This window comes from Homo sapiens, chromosome 4 (assembly GCF_000001405.40).
Source record: "Homo sapiens chromosome 4, GRCh38.p14 Primary Assembly".
Taxonomy (NCBI): Eukaryota; Metazoa; Chordata; class Mammalia; order Primates; family Hominidae; genus Homo; species Homo sapiens.
In genome coordinates this window covers 73,233,474-73,255,550 of record NC_000004.12, presented here as the reverse complement: position 1 = coordinate 73,255,550, position 22,077 = coordinate 73,233,474, and the positions used below count along the sequence as shown (strand labels likewise).

The 22,077-nt window shown below is 35.6% G+C and overlaps 1 protein-coding gene across 14 annotated transcripts in view; it reads left to right on the top strand.

The window, feature by feature from the left end:
• Window positions 1–22,077, top strand: part of ANKRD17 (ankyrin repeat domain 17) — a 185,423-nt gene that overhangs the window by 3,248 nt on the left and 160,098 nt on the right. The window contains exon 1 of one of the 14 annotated variants that reach the window (XM_047450039.1): window positions 4,963–20,570. The exons of the other annotated variants lie outside the window; for them this stretch is intronic. The gene's annotated coding sequence lies outside the window, so the exon portion shown is untranslated. Of the gene's footprint in view, window positions 1–4,962; window positions 20,571–22,077 lie in introns of those variants that run through there. 14 annotated transcript variants of the gene reach the window in all.

The following is a 22,077-nucleotide window of genomic DNA, read 5'->3' as shown; positions in this document are numbered from 1 at the left end:
GCCTAACTTTCTGGAGCTAGGAAGTCTTGTGGCTAAAATCACAGTGTTGTCTTTTCTCTAATTCATTCTGTTATAGGCTACACAATAAAAAAAAGTAGATAAAATGATCTTTAAAATTATCCTTCCAGTAAAAATCATCAAAAGATTAAAAAGGAATGTGAAAGGTTATGGTTTTGTGGTATTTAACCTGAAAGGATAACTTTAATTTAACAAAAATACATAGCTTTGCTATAAAGAAATGCTATCTGAATAATCTCTGTATCTGCCAAAAGAGGAAAAATGGAAGGAAACGAGAATCAATTCAAATAAGAGCTTCATTTAATTGTTGAACAATAAGAATATAATTTCTAGACATTGGAGTAGGTTATTGAGAATAGGATTTTACTTTAAAGTATTTCAGAATAGGGTAATCACGTCTTAGATAATTTGCATAACTTCGGGTATACCTGGAAACAAATAAGACCAAGAGCTACTTGCCTCCCTCTCCCCATCTATTTGACACAAAATCTTACATTTAAAATTGAAAATGCATAATTTTCTTGGTTTTCAGTGAGTGACTGACCAATATGGAAAATACAAATATATTTTCTAACATAAAAGCCATGATGCTCTTTCAAATTAGTGGACAAAATTAATTAAATTGCTTTTGACTATTACAAGAAAAAAATCTTATAATTTCAAGAGTTGATACTTTATTTTAGAAATAACATTGCATTCTATTGAATGCATTTTTGAATATGACTGAATGATCTTAGTATTTTTTCTTTCTTTTTTTTTTTTTGGAGACGGAGTTTCGCTCTTGTTGCCCAGGCTGGAGTGCAACAGTCTGATCTCGGCTCACTGCAACTTCCACCTCCCGGGTTCAAATGATTTTCCTGCCTCAGCTTCCCGAGTAGCTGGAATTACAGGCATCCGCCACCAGGCCTGGCTAATTTTTGTATTTTTATTAGAGACAGGGTTTCACCATGTTGGCCAGGGTAGTCTTGAACTCCTGACCTCAGGTGATCCACTGGCCTCAGCCTCCCAGAGTGCTGAGATTACAGGTCTGAGCCACACTGCGCACTGCAATCTTAGTATTTTCTAAGGCAGAATTCAAAGGGGGAGAAACATTTTTGTTGAAGATGCTTAAAGTATAAATACAGTAGGAGTTGATCAGAATTTCATCTGTTTTTGTAAGTAACCTGTGACTAAATCAAGAGATAAACCTAGTGAAGAAATTTTAGACAAAGGGAGCCGGTAAATAAATTAGTACTGACTTAGTATTGAAAGGATTTGCAAGGCCAGGGAGGATCTGTTTACAGACAGAAAAAGAGAGTTGAAAATGAGGGAGAAAGAAAAAATATTTCAGAATTAGGCTGTGTTCAGCTTCATTTGGAAATATTCTTGTTTGTTTTTTATTGGAAAAGTGCTATCTAAATTCCTTTTTTGTAATGCTTAGAATCCTAGATTAGCCCAGAGAAGCTTGCTTGTTTCATCTCTTAATTGATGTAGCAGTATTTGTAAACTAGATTTTAAGATCTTTGAAGCAGTAGTCTGTCTTAATTATAATTTATCTTGTCTTCTCTCCTGCTTAAGCACAGTACTAGAAAAAAACAAAACATTTTTAGTGAATAACTAGTACTTAGGGAGGATTCAGCATTCATTTAGGGAAAGAAGAGAAGGAATGGAAATTCTTCCCTTCTTGGATCCAGGGCTTCTGAATAGCTGAAGTTCAGATTTCAACATTTTCCAATTTCTTAATTCCTTTTCGTAGTGATGATGATCTTCTCTAAGTATTAAGGGGAGAGCCAGTTAAACTAATAGGAATTGATGAATGCCTGGTAAGTACCTTAAGCCTCCTAAAATTTTTAAAGAGTAAATAAAAATGAATACTTATTCAGTACCTACTGTTTGTGAAGTCTAGGTAAAGGTTAAAAGTATGGATTTTGGAGCTTGGATTTAAATCCTTGATCCATCATTTACTAGCATTGTGACCTTGGCCGAGTTTTTAAATCTCTACTGCAATTTCCTCATGTAAATGGTATAAATGGTAATGATAGTAGATTCTACCTTATAACATTGTTATGAGAGTTAAATGAGTTAATACAATTTTCTCGTATTCTCATTTTATTCTTGCCATAACCCTATGAAGTAGGTGCTGCTATATTTCTTTCATTATTCAATAAATGTTTGGAGTTCCTACTATGTGCTAGGTATTGTGCTGTACTGCGTGAGCAATGGTGAACAAAACTTGTAAGTCACCTTGATTTAAAAATACACCAATGAATAAATATTATAAGTTTGGGGAGGTGTGAGAGTGAGCTTAAGTGGTTAAATGTACATCTTGAATAATGTGTGAGTTTCAAAGTATACAAATGTTGGCAGGGAGCATTCATTTTACAGGTAAACATACTGGCATAGAAGGATTTTAGGCAACCTCATCAGGGTCACATAGCTAATAAATGTCAGAATGGGATTGAACCTGGGACTGTTAGATTCTACGCCTCCTCATTCATTCATTTATTCTCTCACTCATTCACATGCTCTGTTATGCTGTATGGTGTTGAGTACCATATTTCAGATATTGGCACATTCGGCTTGTATAAGGGGAGACGCTTTTTTGCAGTTGGACGGCCATTGAAGACAAGTTGGTCACCCCAAGTTTTCTTTCCAGTTCTTCTGAAAAACTCACTAAAGAAAAAGAAAGCAAGAAATACAGAAAAGTATAGAAAAATAATCCATATTCCCACCACCTAGAATTAAGTTGTTAACAAGATGAAAACTTCATACTGAAAAACCACCCTTTCTAGAGGCGATTTACCACTTATTCCTTGCCTTTCAAAATATTTACTTTTCAAGGTAATCTCTCCTTATTAATTTGAAAAAAAAAATGTTTCTTTTAAATAGAGATTGTTAACTTGGGGTCTGGCTAGGCTGTGAATCCTCTGATATTAAACAAAAGATTTTGTTGAAGGTGCTTATAAGGCTTTATTTTTCTTCCTTTCTGCTCTAGCCCCATATGTGCAGGATTTTCATTAGATCCTCAAAGAGTTCTGTGACCCCCACCCTCTCCCTCCTACCTTGTTACTTTGAAACATTCTCACTACAGATTTAGTGGGGAATTTGGTCATTTATTTGGATTATTAAGAGTTTGGAAACTGCTTCTAACTAAGCAGATGATGTGGTAACAAAGAAGGCTTATTTGTGAAATAGTGGGTCCAAGATTGATCACATCTTTCTGGTAAACCAGCCTTATGCCTACTCTCTTTTCTCTTATATCTTCATGTTTTGCCCTTTAATTAATGAAGCAGTTTACATTGTGTGCTGTGGACTGTCATATCTGAAAGCAAAAGCCTTGTCTTACTCATCTGTATATCTCCTGCTATACAGTACCATGTGTCTTATGTAAGTCTTTGTATCTCTGCTAGGTTCTCATGAAGTCCCATCTCTGTAGTAAGAATAACTCATAAATATTTCTTTATTAGCCACCTACTGTGGGAAATCTTTGGGACTTCAAGTCTTGAGGTAACAGAACTTGGTTGCAGCTATTATTTACAGTAGATCCCTGTGGGATGTTTTAATTGAACCATTATTTTTAGTTTAGTCATTTTTAACCTCACCAACTTAACTGGAGTTAGTATTGTGAAAGTTTTCAGTGTTTAATAAGCATCAAAGTAGCATATTTTGACTCTCGGAAATTCACTAGACTATCTGTTTCTGCTGTTACCTGATTATGCCATCTAGTTGATTAGGAAAACAGTTTTTAGGTCCTTGAGGCAGTGCAGTTGCATTTATGACAGTAGTTTATCTGAATTTTTATAAGGATAATTTAATGGGTTAAAAAATGTGGATTTAATGAGGACCTTCATAATTTTTCCATACTTGACCACAGATGAAAGGGAATTTTTACTTCACATTGGTATGCGAAGTAGTGCCTGCTGGTACCACTTATATTTTTGTTAGGACCAGTAGGAGGCACCAACATCCATGGTGTAACCTACACCAAACCTAACTTTTTTCAGCTTTCATCTTTTCAAAAAAAAAAAAAAGTAAGTCATTAGGGAATTGAAGGTGGTGGGTAAATACGAATACCCTTCTAGTCCCTTGAATCTTACCTATCTGGTACAGTTATGTCCATCCACTTCTTACCCAGAAGCAAAATACCCTTTCTGACTTAACAGTGCTTCACTTCTTAACATTTTTTTGTCTTTAGAAATTATTATTATTCATTCCTGAAGGGATGTAGAGTTGTGGGACAATATAGGTATCATTTTTATAATGATTTATAATTTGGGGTTTCAGTTATTGAAAAGGGAAATGTTAACTGTTATTTTCCCCAAGCATGCTATGAAACTTCAAATAATATAGCTCTAATTATTGAAAGCATAACTTAGACTGCCTTCTGTCCTGTGAAACTCATAAACATTACATGATCTTTTAAAGGAGTCAACTTTTTGTGTGTGTGTAGAGATGGCGTCTCACTTTGTTGCCCAGGCTGGTCTTGAACTCCTGGCTTCAAGTGATCCTCCTGCCGCAGGCTCCCAAAATGCTGTGGGATTATAGGCGTGAGCTACTGCATCCAGCCTGGGGTTAGTTTTTAAGTTTACTTCTGAGTGAGACTAGAGATAAAAGAGAGTGGGGAGAAGGAAATGTAAAGATTTTACATTTGAAACATCAGAGTGCTAAAAATAGAAAAATTAGTCGGGCGTAGTGGCTCCCGCCAGTAAGTCCCAGCTACTTGGGAGGCTGAGGCAGGAGAATTGCTTTAACCTGGGAGGCAGAGGTTGCAGTGAGCAGAGATCGCGCCCTTGCACTCCAGTCTGGGCGACAGAGTGAGACTCTGTCTCAAGCAACAACAACAACAACAACAACAACAACAACAAAAACCGTTACAGTACTTGAGGAATTCCTATTGGAGCCATTATTAGTGTCTTTAAAAACAACTCTTTTTTTCTGTTTTTTTTTTTTTTTTTTTTTTTTTTGAGACAAGGTCATCTATGCTGGAGTGCAGTGGCGTGCTCTCGGCTCACTGCAACCTCCACCTCCCGGGTTCAAGCAATTCTCATCTCACCTTCCTGAGTATCTGGAGTTGCAGCGTGAGCCACTGCGCCTGGCTAATTGTTTTGTATTTTTATTAGAGTTAGGGTTTCACCATGTTTGCCCGGCTGGTCGCAAACTCCCGGCTCCAAGTGATCCGCCCGCCTTGGCCCCCAAAGTGCTGGGCTTGCAGATGTGAGCTACTGTGCGCAGCCTTTATAAACAATTTTGATATATGGTGAAATTTCTCAAAGCTTGCTGATCATAGTGAATTATGCTGATAAGAATGGGAAACAAGATTATTGGGAATAAATTGAAAAATATTAAATAGGTTTTTATGCGTCAAGGGTAAAAAAAATGTGTTTTGAGTAAATGATCTGAAATACAGCATGCTTTTTTGGTAAAAGCTTAGTATAATGTAGGGTGAAGTTAAGGCGTTGGCGATAACCAGAATCATAATTCTCATTTTAAATAATGCTATGCTACATCTGCACAAAATAGATTATGTATATTTTTGGCTGCTGTACCATGAAAATGATGACTAAAACGAGGTCTAGAGAGGGATAGTTTAAAAATGATGGTAGGGCTAGAGATGGAATCCATGATTGAGGAGGACTGTAGATTTTACTTAACTATATTCTTTCTTTTTAATTTATTTTTATTTTATTTTATTTTTTTTGAGACGAAGTCTCGCTCTGTCTCCCAGGCTGGAGTGCAGTGGCGCCATGCCGTCTCACTGCAACCTCCGCATTCCAGATTCAAGTGATTCTTCTGCCTCAGCCTCCCAGGTAGCTGGGGCTACAGGCGCCGGCGCCACCACGCCCGGCTAATTTTTGTATTTTTAGTAGAGACGAAGTTTCACCATGTTAGTCAGGCTGGTCTCGAACTCCTGACCTTGGATCCGCCCCCCTCGGCCTTCCAAAGTGCTGGGATTATAGGCGTGAGCCACAGCACCCGGCCGATTTTACTTAAGTATATTCTTATTGCTTATTACTTCATACTCAAACTGACTTATAAGGTAGAGAAAATCATAATGTGTACCAGATAGTGCTATTTCAGTTTAGAAAATAAATTCATTTTTTATTTCTTGAGATTATTTGAAAGTACATTGTAGAAATGGCACATTTATGGAACTGCTTTATGGCTGTGCCTCTCTTGCAGGGAATTTTGCCTCCCCCTTTCCTTTTCCCAAAAATACTATTAGCTTGCCTAATTTAACCTTTCACTTTTTTTATCCCCATCTTCCCCCACAAAAGAAAGGAATAGAAAAGAAAAATACGAAAGTGAAGAAATAAGAACCTGCTCTAAAGTTATTTCTTGGTCTGGGTTTCTTTATGGATCATCTCTTAATTAGCTTAAAAACATTTGATTGAAACCTATTTTGGAAGTATCTATGGAAAGGTTGGTTCCATTAGTTTGGAATTTAGAATAAATATATGTTACCATAGAGATCTATTTTCCTTTCCCTCTTTTCCTGTCAACCTAAATGTGAAGATTGACAAGAAAAGGAAGCCCACCTGTTTGTGTTACAGTTAGTGTTAGAAATGCCTTTGACCCCATTGTTGTCTCTTTCTTTCTCTGTGCCATGTTTATTTTTTTAATGGCATTAATAATGAAAACAGTCTTGTTTCAAAGCCTCTAGTATAGCACATACTAGAATTAACTCCTACAGGAGTTAATTCTTTTACCTGACAAACATTTATTATCTCCTATGTGTGGCTGTTTTCATTGTCTAATCTGAACTATTTCCTTCCCAGTGAATATGAAAAAAAATTATATTTAAAATTATAGCTGTATATGTTAAATATGAATAAGTTAATTTGTACATATTGTAGTTAGTAAAACTTACATACATTGAAACTTAGCACAATGATAGAATTCAGTTTTCCACGTGATTATTAGCTATTATCTAATCTTATTAGCTATGATTATTAGCTAATAGTTTTATCACTATTAGTATACTCTCTGAACTAAATTTATTTAAGAAGCATTATTAACATCTAGCAAAATTACCTAGGTATTATAAGGGTTTTGAAGAAATGGGGACATTATTTCTAGATTCATAAAATTTAAATTTTGTTGAGATAAAACTAGTAATAATTTAAAACTGTGAAGATGATTTTAGCCCCGTATAAATCCTATACTTTTTTGGGGCATCTATGTTCATTTTTGGTGTAACTGTGTGCCTTATGATCATAGGGATCATTTTGTTTTGGTTTTTGAATACTAGTAGGGTAGACTTTATATCTTTTATGAGTGTCTCCTGGAATACTCAGTGATTTTTGATATTTTGTTTGTTCTTAAGATGAGGTCTGTATGTACGATTTTTCTAGAGTGTCCTTGACAACTAGATTATACTAAAGAGTCATCCATTCTAATTTTACCTTGAAGGTTTTATAGTAAGAAAGGAGAGTATCTATATTAATATACTTGTGATTGATGCAGGTGGAGATATGTTAAAATATGAAGATTGAATTACAAGACAGTGTAGGATGAAAATTCTTAAGATTTTAAATATAGCGTTACATATAATTAAATGTTATTCATTAATTTATACCTATTTGTAGAAACACATATTTGCAGAAAACTTGACAAACTCAAAAAGATCTAAAGAATAGAAAAATCACCTATTATTCTGTCTTCAGAATTAATCATTACCTGAAATACGTCTTTTCATTCTTTTTCCTTGTTATGTTGTAGTGAAATTATCACAAAGAGCAGAGGTACCACTTAGAAATTTTGCTTGCTGAAATTTTTATTGATGAGCTTTCTTCAAATATATCAATTGAAGAGATGAGTCTTCAGATTATGATTTTTATATATTTAAAAATAAAAACTAATGACGGTATTTATACTTACAAAAATGTCTTCTAGTATATAGGGCTTTTTATTCCATTCTTAGAGTAAATGCTGCTAACAGTTGGTGTATATCAAATGTTTGTTTCTTTCTTGAGACTGAGTGCGTGTGTGTGTGTGTTAGAGTATGTTAATATTTGCCACATTATTCTCATTTACTTATGAATGTTCCATAATATAAATGTTCATAATTTATTTGATCTTTTATTTTGGTAGACATTTAGATTGTTTTCACTACATTGCTATTAGTGAAGTGAACATCCTTGTACAGTTATTTTTGAGTATGAAACTATTTCTTTGGGATGGATTCCTGGAAATGGAATTGTTGGGCTAGAGTATGCACATGTTAAATTTGATAAATACTCTCAAGTTTTGCTTGCATCAGCAGTGTATGAGAATGTTCCTAGATGTGGTTAATTTACTTAGTTTTAAAAATCTGTTAAACAAAAAATGGTGTTTTGTTTTCATTTTTCTGATTACTGTCAACATTGAGTATAAGTTTTTTAATCTTTGTTTTTCATTTGGATGTCTTGAAAATTTCCTGGTTTATCCTTTACCTATTTTTCTATTAGGATTGTCTTGTTGTTTTCTTATTGATTTGTTGATAGTATTTATAGTATTAATTTTTCATAGTGTTATGTGTTACAGTATTCTCCCTTGACATTGTTTTCACAACATGGAAAAATTTATTGTTTAGTAAAATGTATTATTCTTTTATGACTTCTGGAGAACTTCCTCACTCCAGTATTTAACAATTCTTAGAAATTTTTCTTTGTACTTTGTTTTTCAAAGATACATGGATCTCTTTTTGGATATAGTATTTAATTCTTGTGTCTGTTTCTTATTTACTCCTTTTTATAGCAGTTGACTGATTCTTGCTTCTTAAAATGTAATCCTCTCTTCCTCATGTAATACCACCTTCTCCTGTTTGTACCTCACTGTTTTTTGTTGGTCATCTTGCTTCCTTTTACCCCGCACAGCAAACATACTTTGATTATTTACCTCATTGGACCCTTTTCTGTTTTGTGTCTGGTCTCATTTAGATGATTTTAACTATTGTGTCGTTACATATCTATATACCAGTGACTATCAGGTTTACAGCTCCAACCTAAACCTTTGTTTTTTTTGAGAATTGGGCTCACCCTTCTGGCCACCTACCATTTGTGCAAACCTTTCTTCCAACACCTAATTGTTTCTTTCCTCAAGAGAATCAATTCAAAGTCCCATCCAGTTACTACATACAGCTCCAAGTGAAAGATATATACAAAATGCTTTTCCTCCTAATTCAGAGAATTCTAGTGATCTATAAAGCAATAAACAACTATCTCTCCCTCTTTTCACCCAACCCATTGTGTAGTAGTGAGTAGGAATAGGATAATCATAATGAAAACTCTTCTAGAGAAGGGAAGAATAGGAAGTACACAGCAGTCATTGGTACATATTAATAATGAAATCCTTCGGGGGAGGAGTTGTGACAACTTTGCTCTGGCTACTGAGTAATTTTCTTGGTTATACTGATTTTCCTCTATGAGAGGAATGCTCTTTTCACTGCTGTCTGTTTCCTTTGCTTAGTTCTTTAGATGATTCTTTCTTGTTTGTTATCTTCCTTAGCCACATTTGAAGTAGTAGGCATTGGAGGGTGTGACATCCCTAGGAAGTGTACAACTTTTGTAGCCCCCTACCTGTTGGTATAGATGCAGGGCCGGTAGGGTTACTTAAAGTTCAAGTGTAAGATTTTTAGGCCAGTAATGTAGTTTGTTGGTAAAACTCTTTCAAAAACATAATAGATTTCTTTTCTGTTTTTCTTAGATCGGGACTATGTAACAATAACTATAGCAAAATATCTCTTAGTCCTAAGTTTTGGAAACCAGCTGATTCTCTTATTTACTGGTCTCTGTGCTAGGCTAGCTCCTCTCTCCCTTAGGTTTCCTGGCTACCTCGAGAGGATCTGAAATAATAGTCTTGGATGATGTATCAGTAAGGGTTTAACCAGAGAAGCAGAGCAAGTAGATTTATATATGATTGTTATGTATTAAGAGATTTATTACAAGGAATTTGGCTTACATGATTGTGAGGGCTGGCTAAGCAAGTGTGAAATCTGTACGGCAGGCAGTTAGTGGGAGAAGATTGTGGGCAAGGTGGAATCCATGGGCTTAGGCTGAAGCTGTTCTCCATAGGCAGTCAGGAAGGGAAGATACAGCGAAGAGAGAACAATTGTAGACTCAGCTGCTGTTTGGAGTCTCATTTGCTCGGAAGAACCTGATCTCTTTTAAGAGCTCACCTGACTAGGTCAGGCTCACTGAGGATGATCACCCTGGCTTAAAGTCAGTTGATTAGGAACTTCAATTACATCTGCAAAATCCCCTCACAGCAGTACCTAGATTAGCATTTGACTGAATAATTGAGAGAAGGTATTTGTGCTACAAAATGTCTGCTGTCCTGTCTTCTTTCTAAGAAGAAACCATTACAGGTGGAAAAGCAACACTCTTAACTTGATCTTTGCTACTACCTGACAGAGAACCCTTGAACTCACAAAGTTATTTCCTGGTATTTAGAGCACAGAAGCAGCTGCCTTTTCCATCCTGGGAGGCCCCAAATTACTGGACTCTTGTAGGTCGGAGTTTGCCACTGAGAAAGCTTCTTTTTAGTAGCACTGTTTTCATGTCTGTCTCTGCTTGCAAACTGCTTTATAGGTGAATTGATCTTTCTTGTTGATCTTTAAATAGCCAACACACCATATTTCGAGTTTTTCTAACTGCTTTTCTTAGAACTACAAACTTAGTAGGCATATGATGTGCCCTTCCAATTATTGCAGGCAAGAGTTTTACTAAATGTTCTGCAACTGTATAGCACAGATCATTAGATCTCCAGCCTGAGATGTTTCCTTGCTACCTGTTCTCTAAGCCTTACCAGAGATTTTAGGAGTTTGTTAGAGCAGCGTGTCATTTCCAATTAACTGTATTAGTTAAGGTATAGGATGGATCATTTGAACAAAGAGACTCCAGAACACATCAGGCAAGATAGAAGTTTGTTATTCTTTTATGTGCTACTCCAGAGGTAGACCTTCAGGTTATTCACACATCTAAGTATCTGCTGTCTTGCACTTGATACACCATCCCTTAATCAGTGCTGTCCAATACTGTAGCCACTAGCCACAGGTTGCTGCTGAGCTCTTGAAATGTGGCTAGCGCATCTAAGGATTTGAGTTAAATTTTTTTTAATTTTTAATTTAAATATTACATGTAGCTAGTGGCTACCATATTGGAGAGTGCATATGTAGAATATTTCCATCACAGAAAGTTTTATTGGACAGCTCTGCTTTGGAGTGTTCATCTACAAGATCTACTGTGGCTCACTAGCATCATGTCCATGTTTCAGCCTGTTATGGGCTGAACTGTGTGTCCCCAACATTAATATTAATATTTTGAAGCCCTAACCCCAAGTATTTCAGAATGTGATTGTACTTGGAGATAAGTCCTTTAAAAATGTAATTAAGGTTCAATCAGGTCATATGAGTGGGCCTTAATCCATCTGACTGATGTACTTATAAAAAGAGGACATTTGAACACAGGACACCGGAGATACATGCCCACAGAGAAAAGGCCATGTGGGGATACAGCAAGAAGGTGGTCATCTGTAAGCCAAGGAGAGAGGCCTCAGGAGAAACAAATCTGCAGACACCCAGATCTTGGACTTACAGTCTCCAGAACTGTGAGAAAATAAATATCTGTTGTTTAAACTACCCAGTCTATGGTATTTTGTTATGGTAGCGCTAGTAAACTAATACTGGAGAAATAAGAAACAGAAAGGTCAGCATAGGTAACTTCCTTTTGAGGAATTGACCAACAAGTTGCCAACGTCATTTTCCATTATATCCCATTGACCAGAAATTTCTTACGCAGCCATATCTAAGACTCAGCTCTTGCTGAGTGGCCATGTACCCAGGTAAAACTTGTGGAGAAGTAGTCTTTTGCTAAAAGAAGGGGACTGTGGATATTGGAGGGTAATTAATGTTTTATATTGATACAATTCTATGATTATATTGTCCTTATGACTACCAAAACAAGAATGAAAGTCATTCCTGGTTCCTGAAATAATCTTGTGGGCCAAGCTTTGGTCATGTGTCCATTCTTGAACCAGCCACTATCACTAAGGAAAAAGATGCTTTGTTTAGGACTAGGTCATGTTTCTCCACCCTATGTAGGAGGTAGACTAGGAGAGGTCCATTCTACCTCCAAAATATGTCTTGAATTTTTCTCCTTCTCTCCTTCTCCACTACCATCGCCTTAACCCTGGCTATTTTCTTACTTGAACTTCATAGTAGCCTCCTAATTTGATCTCCTGGCTTTTTCTCCTGAATCCCCATTCTTCATTCATTCTTCACGTAGCATTAGGCTAATCTTTCTGAAATGTCATTGTTATTTGATTTCTCATTGCTTTTAGAATAAAATCCAAACTCCTAACTTGCCCCACAGAACTTTGTATGGCTGCTCCTTGTTGTTCCAGCCCTTCTAGTTCCTTGACTGTCGTCTAGTAGCACTGACCCTCCTTGTTTTGAAACATGCAGACTTTCTAGCTAGGGTCTTTTTACTTTCTTCCTAGTGTGGTGTTCCCCTGGTTCTTTGTTTTTTCTCATCCTTTAGTTTTCAGCTTAGATATCCTTCTTCGTCCAGTATTGTTAGAGGGAACTTTCTCCCCTTACACCACTTCTTCTTTTACCTCCCTTTTAGTTTTTTGCCTTAACTGAGTAAGTTGCACTGTAGTGAAACATAGGAAAGAGCCCTGTTGGTTTTTCACCAAGCTTTATTAGTATTAAATATTTAGTAAACTCTTATGTCTGTTTCTTACTACGTGGAAAGAAGTTTGTGGGTGGAAGTGGGGTGGGAGACTTTGAGTGAATTTCACAGTTGAACCTTGGCGAAATTATTTTTATAAGCCACAAGTCATTGAATATCTGGTTTCATATGATTCAGCCTAATATGTTAGCATGGTTTGGTATCTTAGAAGGCAGTTCTCACTCATTGAGCTTCTTTCTCAAGAGTTTTGGATATTGTTCATTTAACATGTCAGACATGCTTTAGAATCATCTTTTGTACGTGACCATGAAATATTCTCAGATTATACATTGAAATTTGTGTTAATTTTGGAGAGAAATATATGTATAATACTGAATATTCCCATTCGGAAACATGGCATACTTATGTATTTTCAGGCCCTTCATCTGTCTTTAATAAAATTTTAGTTTTTGTATAGATTTTACACATTTCTTGTGGAATTTATTTCAGATTATTTTATAGTTCTTCCTGCTATCATGTATGGTATATTTTATTCCATTATACTTTCTTAATTAGTTATTGTTGGAATATAGGAAGCTATTGATTGGCATATTTTAATCTTGTATATGGCCACTAAACTGAATTCTTGTATTCAGTTTATTCTGTTGAATTTTCTGACTCAAATGTCATATTGATTCCAGTAAATTATTTTTTCTCTCATTTCCAGTATTTGTCCCTTGTGTTTGTTTTTGTTCTCTTATTGCGTGAGTTTTGAACCACCCCCAAAATGTTGAATGTCAGTGGTAACAGAGGTTATACTTGTCTTTCTCTTATTTTTAATGGAAGTGCTGTTGTTTTACTACTAAGTATAATGCAGATATCTTTTATCAATTTAGGGTACATCACTTTTTCTTAAATTACTTAAGTTTTATTAGAAATAATGTACTAAATTTTATCAAATGCATTTTTGGCATCTTTTGAAATGGTCAGTTCTTTTTCTGCCCCTTCAGTATGTCCATATGGTGAATTGTAATAAAAGATTTCCTAATTTTAATTGTGTTTTGAATACTTGGTATGATGAATTATTTTAATGCACTGTTGGTTTAGTTTCATTAATATTTTAATTTATATTTTCTATGAAGATTATTCATGTTAGTTTTTCAAATTTATTTGAAGAAACTGTAAATATTTTTTCCTTACATCAGTTTTGTAAAGATACTCATTTTACAGATTCAGTTTATGTGCATCCTTTTTCCTTTTAGTCTTATATGTTGTGTTTTTAACCTTATTGGCCACTGAAATGTTAGAAAGAAGTTAGAGTAAGTGGTTTATTTGATCTTTTTATAGTTTAGTAATTTTTTAAAAAGTGGCTTTAAGTAATTTAGTACATACCTCTTTTTAAAAATAATAACTTACTAGTTAGTTAATATACTATTCTCGAGGTTCATTTATGTTGTAGCATGTGACTGGATTTCCTTTTAAATATTCCATTGTATGTATAGATCACATTTTATTTATCCATTCATTAGTTAATGGACCGTTTGGGTTGCTTCCATCTCTTGGCTAGTGTGCCTCTTAACTTTTACATTTTATTCATTTATTTCAAATTTATATGGGTTCATTGAGGGGAATAGGAACTTAATCTTGTATTTCCAAATAGTTAATCAGTTGACTTATCTGTTTCATAGTCTGTCCTCATTATTTGAATAATGCCTTTATTTTATGTATTTCCACAATACAACAATAAACCAAATATCTGCTCAGTATATACATCTTTATAAGTACTGAATTTGGGCCGGGCACGGTGGCTCACATCTGTAATCCTAGCACTTTGGGAAGCCGAGGTGGGCGGGTTGCCTGAGCTCAGGAGTTCAAGACCAGCCTGGGGAACATGGTGAAACCCCGTCTCTATTAAAATACAAAAAAAATTAGCTGGGTGTGGTGGCATGCTCCTGTAGTCCCAGCTACTCGGGAGGCTGAGGCAGGAGAATTGCTTGAACCCGGGAGGCGGAGGTTGCAGTGAGCCGAGATTGTGCCACTGCACGCCAACCTGGGTGTCAGAGCAAGACTCATCTCCAAAAAAAAAAAAAAAAAAAAGAATAAGTACTGAATTTATATAAGCTGAAGGCCTGAATACTAAAATTGGCTACTTGTACTAAGCAGTTTCCTGTGTTTGTTAAGTAGCTAACATCTGTGTGGGGTTTTATGGTTAAAGGAATTTTAGATGTTTTCCACTTAATCAAGTCAGTTATGTGTTTTTTTAAATTCTAATTTTTTTAGGCACAGGGTCTTGCTCTGTTGCATAGGCTGGAGGGCAGTGGCATGATCATAGCTCACTGCCGCCTCGAAATCCTGGGCTCAAGTGTTCCTCCCACCTCAGCCTCCCAAGTATCTGGGACTACAGGTGCATGCCACCATGCCTAGCTAATTTTTTTTTTTTTTTTTGTAGAGATAGTCTTGCTGTGTTGCCCAAGTTATTCTAGAACTCCTGGGCTCAGGTGATCCTCCTGCCTTGGCCTCTCAAAGTGCTAGTATTCCAGGCATGAGCCCATGTGCCCAGCCAAGTCAGTGATCTTTTGAAGCAATTTTTCTTCTTTTATTGCTTAAACCTCTAAACAGGCTTGACATTTTTTTTTCTTTTCTCTTTCCCTCCCTTACAGATTCTAGTACAGAAGTACTTTTATGAAGAAAATATAAGCAATGCCAGCATCTATATAGTGTTCTTACTGATTTGATGATGCCCTTAGGTTGTCTTTGAACTTGAAAATCTCTATACATTATTATTGCAGGACCTATAAACTATGACTGTTGTGTAGTTCTCTTGCACTATCTTTCCAATGTTCTTTGAAGAACTGTTTCACTGTTTATTTTATCTATTTCAAATGAACTAGGAGTAATTTAAAACTTACATAGTTGCTGTTCAGAAAATGTCAAAAAAGAAGAGCTTGTATAAGATACAATGTAGATAAATTTAATTCTATTGAGGGGGTAATATCCTTTTAAGATACAATGTAGATAAATTTAATTCTATTGAGGGGGTAATATCCTTTAAACCAAACTTGTCTAAAGTTTTCACCAAATGTTAAACTGTGAGTAATGTTTTCTTTTTATTTATCCATTTGATTTTTTTATATTGGAGGAATCTTAAAATTGCAGTATCTTTTTCCACTTTTATTAAATCATATAGTAACTGTGAACTGAAAATTTAAACAGTAGAGGAAGATACAGAGTAAGAGTTGAAGATTTTTTATATCCCTAGGTGTAAATTGTAAGTGTATGTAATCCTATGCCTTTTTCTGTGCATTTTCACACATATACAGATATATCTATGTAATTTTGTTTTGCATAAATGAGATCATTATAAAAATATTGTTTGAAACTTTCTTTTTAAATTAATATTCCATCATAGATTTTCACGTTAATACACATATAGTTATCTTAGTCCTTTAAATGGCTGTGAGTATTCCCTTGTCAGGTATCAGGACTTAATTGCTTTCCAGTTTATGGAAATTTTGGTTGTATCCAAAGTTCTGCTGTTACAAACAATACTGAAGTGGACTTTTTGATATTGTTTCTGTATTGTGGTAAGATATATTCCAGAGGTAAAACTGCTAGACCAAAGGTATGGGAATCTATTTCTGTAACTGACATTTTATTGTGTGTCAGCACTGTATTTTAAAAACTAGTGATTTTGTAGTGGTATAGGATCTGATAGGTCAAACATCAGCTTTCAAGCCCTGTTCATCTCTGTTCTTTCTGGATATCCCTCTCTGTTGACTACTTTATCCATAAAAGGGCCAGATCATATATCACCTCTTTCCTGAAGGTGTTTATAACACCTAGAACATTGAATAATTTTAACCCCAGTAATAGTTTAGTGAGTGCTTACTGTGTGCCAGCCACAATTCTAATTGGTTTATGTGTATTACACTGCTGTATATCATTTAATCTTCCCAGTTCTAAGAGGTACATAGTATCTACACTTTGTAGTTGAAAAAATCAAGGTAAAGAATAAGTAACTTGTTCAAGGTCACAGTAAGTGATGGAAATGGAATATAAACATGGGTAGTCTCACATGAAAGTCTGCTTTCTTAACTCTCATATTGTACTGCCTTCTTACCATCCTTTTATGGCCTCCCTAGTAATTGCTCAAGAAATATGTTTTGTATGCATTGTAGAGTTCACTAGCCATTTCATCTTGCTTCTAAGTCCTCTTTACAGATCTGTATGAATACCGTCTTACTCAAATTTATGTATAGTGACCTATCCCCAAGTAGGATAACCAGAGAGAAATGATGGAGTAAGGAGGGTTATGGAAGACCTCCTTACTCCAAAACACTTTACCTGAATGTAGCTAGTTAATACTGCTCTGTTTTATTTCATCTTGTTTCCCTAACTCCTGTCTTGGGAACATTCATGGATTAATCTTGGGATGGATTTCATAGGTGGAATAAATGGGAATGTCACTCTTCAATATTTCTGAAACATCAAATCAAAATACATACCTTGTAGATTACCTCTTACAGTAAGTGCTCAAAATGTGAAGTGGGAAGAATGCTGTTTTAGACCCTCCTATACCTCTTAATTCATGCTGTTAGGTAAGTGTGACATGTAAAAATTAAATATCTCAGTCTCTCATAAAAGGGGCCTGGTAATACTTTCTTTTGAGGGAGGTTAGGTGACCTAATGTTTGTGAAAATATTTGTGACCTATAAGGATTTTCATAAATTAATTGTTAAAACTGAAGTATGAATAAAAATAGAGAGTCTTATGAAAATTCTGACTACTGAGATGGTTGGTTTTTTTTTTTTTTAATTTAGGAGAATCCCTTATTTTAAATTTCTAATTCTATTAAATTTGGTTATCTTATTGAATTTATAGATTGCTAGTAAATATTTTCAGTTCTAATTGTACATTTTGGTTAATTGTTTTAGGTGGAGCTGATAGTAGATAGGTTAAGGGGTTGGGATTCTGTAATGAACAGTTCACAAAATAATGGTTGTATTCTGAATTTGTTAAGTTTTTAGAATTTATGTAGAATATGTTCTTAAATTCCTTGAGAACTTAAAAATTTGTAGTACTTTATCATACTGTTAATAAAGAGGGAGAGATAAGGGTTATGGGAAATGCACATCCTTTTCTGACTCTTAAGTCCTTTTCTGGGAATATGAAAGCAAACCATATGCCTATGGCGTCTCTGCTATAGGCTTAGCAGATAATACTAGGGTTCTAGATAAAATGAAAAGTATGAAGGCAAAGATTTGATCATGCTGTTTTCTAAATCTCAGGACCTTTAGAATGTATCTCTAACTCACTTTGTGGACTCCTTTCACTTGTACCTTTTCTTCCTTTTCTTACTCTGCATCCAGATCCCCACCTCACAGTCCAAGATCCTCTCTACCACTCAGTCCAGCTTTCTGGCTGCCACCTAAACTTCAGTACCTGGCTTCTCTTGGCCAGATCGAAGGACTGTAATATGATTTAAGTTGTGAATATGCCTTAGTATGTGAGATGTCTTTTCATATGAGGGAGTTCTTAACCTACTTTAGCTTAATCACCAGATCCTTTTGTCTTTTATGCTAACACATAAAAAACACAGGCTTGGTATTACAGCTTTTTGTCTTCTATGCATGAGCAGTTTTGTTTTGTATCCCAGGGATCCCAGAAGAACAGCTTTGCTTGGCCAGGGTACCCATTCATTGGCTTAGGCAACCTAGAATGTTAAGATTCATATATCTTAATCAAATACGAAGGTCTTCCTGACCTCACTACCATAAGCAGAAGTTTTTCTGAAAACTTTGATCAGAGAGCAAGTAGGAAGAAGGGCCAGATTCCAGTTTCATTAAACCACAGGCATATGAATACTTCACAGTTTCTGTGCTTGACAAAAATTACATTTAATTCTGAAATAACCCAATGCCTTTGTATTTCTTTTCTTACACTATTTCTCCAGGAAAAAAGCATGATATGGAAAGAGTTTGAAATCAAGTTGAGCCACTTGCTTTTGAATCCTGCTTTAACACTGTGTGATTTGGGGACAGTTACTACTTAACCTTGTTGTCTTCATCTACCTTAGGGCTAATGATTTATTTTTAACAGAGTTTTTCTAAAGAATGGAGGTAATCTACATTATTTAGCACACTATACTACCTTCTGTGTTGGAGGTAATTTATTACTTATTTTGACATTTTACTGGATTTAATTCTTATATACTATTTTGGAATGAAGTTGTCATTTTTTTTTTCCCAGTCAGGATCAATTTTCTTTACCTTTTTTAGGTCATGGACTTTAGTTAGATTATAATGAAAAATGTAGACCTATTCTCCTCCAACATTTACTTAAATACATCATACAACATTTTGCCAGTTGTTTCTGGGATATAGAGTTTTTGAGGCATAGGTATTTGAGGTGTGAACCATACAATATGAACCTTAGCTCAAGAGGACTGGATTTCAGGCTGGTTGCAGTGACTCACATCTGTAATGACAGCCCTTTGGGAGGCCAGGAGGATTGCTTGAGGCTGGGAGTTTGAGACTCTCCTGGTCAACATAGCAGTAACCATCTCTACAAAAATTTAAAAATTAGGTGGGTGTGGTGGCACGTACTGGTAGTCCTAGCTACTTGGGAGGCTGAGGCAGTAGGATTGCTTAAGCCCAGGAATTTAAGGTTACAGTGGCAATGATGGAACCACTGCACTCCAGTCTAGGTGATGGAGTGAAACCCTGTCTGAAAAAGGAGTACTGGATTTTGTTTTTTATCCATTGAGGAGTTATTGACCATCCTTTTTCCCTACTCTGTCCCCAGTAATCACAACAGTAGCTACAGAATTTTTCTTTGAAAGGTTTCTGTCATATAAGAGAGCTTTAAAAAATAATAATTTGCTAGAAAATTTTAAATTATGGTTGGGCGTGGTGGCTCATGCCTGTAATCCCAGTACTTTGGGAGGCTGAGGCAAGAGGATTGCATGAGCTCAGGAGTTCGAAACCAGCCTGGGAAACATAGTGAGACCCTGTCTCTATTAAAACCAAAAAAAAAAAGAAAAAATTTTAAATCATTACGAACCTTCCCTTCTTCCTTCTTTTTCTTTCTGAAACTATTGGAATCCTGACTTAGAAGAAAACTAGTAAAGAGATAATTGGTTTTTATATCTGCCTTTTTTCCCTCTGAGGGTGGAAAGATAAGATGTACTAAATAAAGTTTATAGCTATTTCCTTATTGTATGTTTAACAAATTTTAAAAGTATAACTCTATTTATCCGGGCTTATTTTAGTTATTGACTGAAATTTTTAAAAAATGGTGGATTTAGTACATTCCTTTAATTTCTTTTCAGTGTCCCACTGATATTGTTTAAAGATTGAATTAAGTCATAATTCTGAAAAGCGGGAACAGATGTTATTATATTAGTCAAACTACCCTTAAGAGGAACAAAAGGACCTCATTAGCTCTATAACTTTAATGTGTACTTGGGTGTATGTGGGGAGAGAGGTAAGAAACTACAACTTAGGTGCATAGATGGATCTAAACTTGAATAGTGTTAGTAGTATGGCTGCAACCCTGTTACTGTCTCAACATTTTTGGTCTGCGTTTCCTTCTGTATCAGCTTTATTTTCAGCCAAAGATGACTGTCACTCAAAGGAGATGGGAATGGGATATTCTAGCCAGACCTAGGTATAGTGGCCACTCCTGTGGTGACTGGGAAGGCTCACCTCTACCCAAAGCACATGAATACATTCCCCATAAAAAAGAGGGATGATGTTGTTAGCAAAAGGGGTCAGGGAGAAAACATGTTGAACAGTAAAATTACAGTTCACAGTCCACTACAGGTACCATCAGAGGACCAAGAAATTTTGAAGAAGATAGAAAGTTCATGGAATCGGATTGACAGCAAAATCCCAGAGGAAACTGGAACCCAAGATAACAGAGGTAAGCTCAGGTTTTCCCAGGGAAACCTTGGAATGGCTCCAAACTTGGAGTCAACAAACACCAATCAGTAGTAGTGGGCAGTTGGGTAATACTTAAGAATTTTCTTAAGACTTCTTTTCCACAGTGCTAGGTCAGTTGGGCTTCCCTCCTACCCTTTCTCCAGCCTAAACAACTATGATGCCCACTCTTAGGCCTGAAGTTTCAGAATCATTCTCTTAAGAAAGTAGGTCAGCAGTTTAGTATGGGCATCTACTTAGGTGTTAGAACCTGAGAGAGAAGTGGAGGCACTGTGCTACCCCAGGAGAAAAACAGTTTTGTCTGTTCCCAGCCAACTTGACTTCCTATCCAGGTACCTTTTTGGGGTACCTGCGTATACGCGTGCCCTACCTGCTTAAATTGTACTGTTCTTCCATTTAAAGGAGAAGCCACTTAGGAAAACAAACCCAAATAACCTCAGGGAAAGCTCTTACACTCTATATACTCTAAAGTAATCTTTCATTTGCAAATATAAACAGACAGGGATAATCAGACAATTGAGGACAATCAAGAGGATGAAAGAAGATTAAAATGAATAAAAGAACAACCAACCTCAGCTATAATTCAGAAGAATACTTCAAAGTGTAATTAGTATTTTATTTAAAATTTAAGAATACGTAATGTTTAATCATAGTTGCATTTAAAAGGGGGCATAGAACTAGAAAAGGTTTTGAAAATTATAAAAATTTTAATTGAAGAGATAAAATTTCAGCATGAATCAAGACTCAATTGTTGATTTTGGAATTAAGAGGAGGAACTGTCTGCATATGTAAATCAAAAGAGAAAATAATCTGGAAAAACTTGAGGGAAAATTAAAGAAGCATGGAAAATATATCACAGTTTTTCACATCCATAAGTATGAGTTCTCAGAGCAAGAGATTTAGGAACCATGGGAAGGATAGAATAATGAAAGAAATAATTGAAGAAAATTTCCTGAGCTGTAGAAACGTAATGAATTTTCAGATTGAAAGAGCCCATCTAGTAACCAAAATGAATGGAAAAAGATCCACAATTTTAGAACTCTTAAGGACAAGAAGATCCCAAAATTATTGCCAGAGAGAGGGAAAAAATACGGAAAATCAAATAACTAAGTTCTTAGCAGCTGTGTTGAATGCTTGAAGGCAGTGGAACAGTGACTTCACTGTTTGAGAGACAATAGATTTTGACCTATGTTTTCTCTACCCAGCCCCTCTATTTTATCATGTGAGGACAATTGCATTTTCTATACTGGGAAAAAACGATGCACTTTGTATGAACATATTTGAGATACAGTAGCACAGAGAAAAAAATAATCCCAAGGTAGAGGATATGGTGGTAGTGGGGGGATGGGAGGGTGAGTGGGAAGAAATAGCTGCTGTGGCAATCTTGGGCCTTCAAAAAGAACTGAAGAAAGCTAGAAGGAAATTCAAGTTCTATTAGTCTGGAATACATGAACATTTCTTCAAGTAGTAATGTCTAAACAACATAAAAT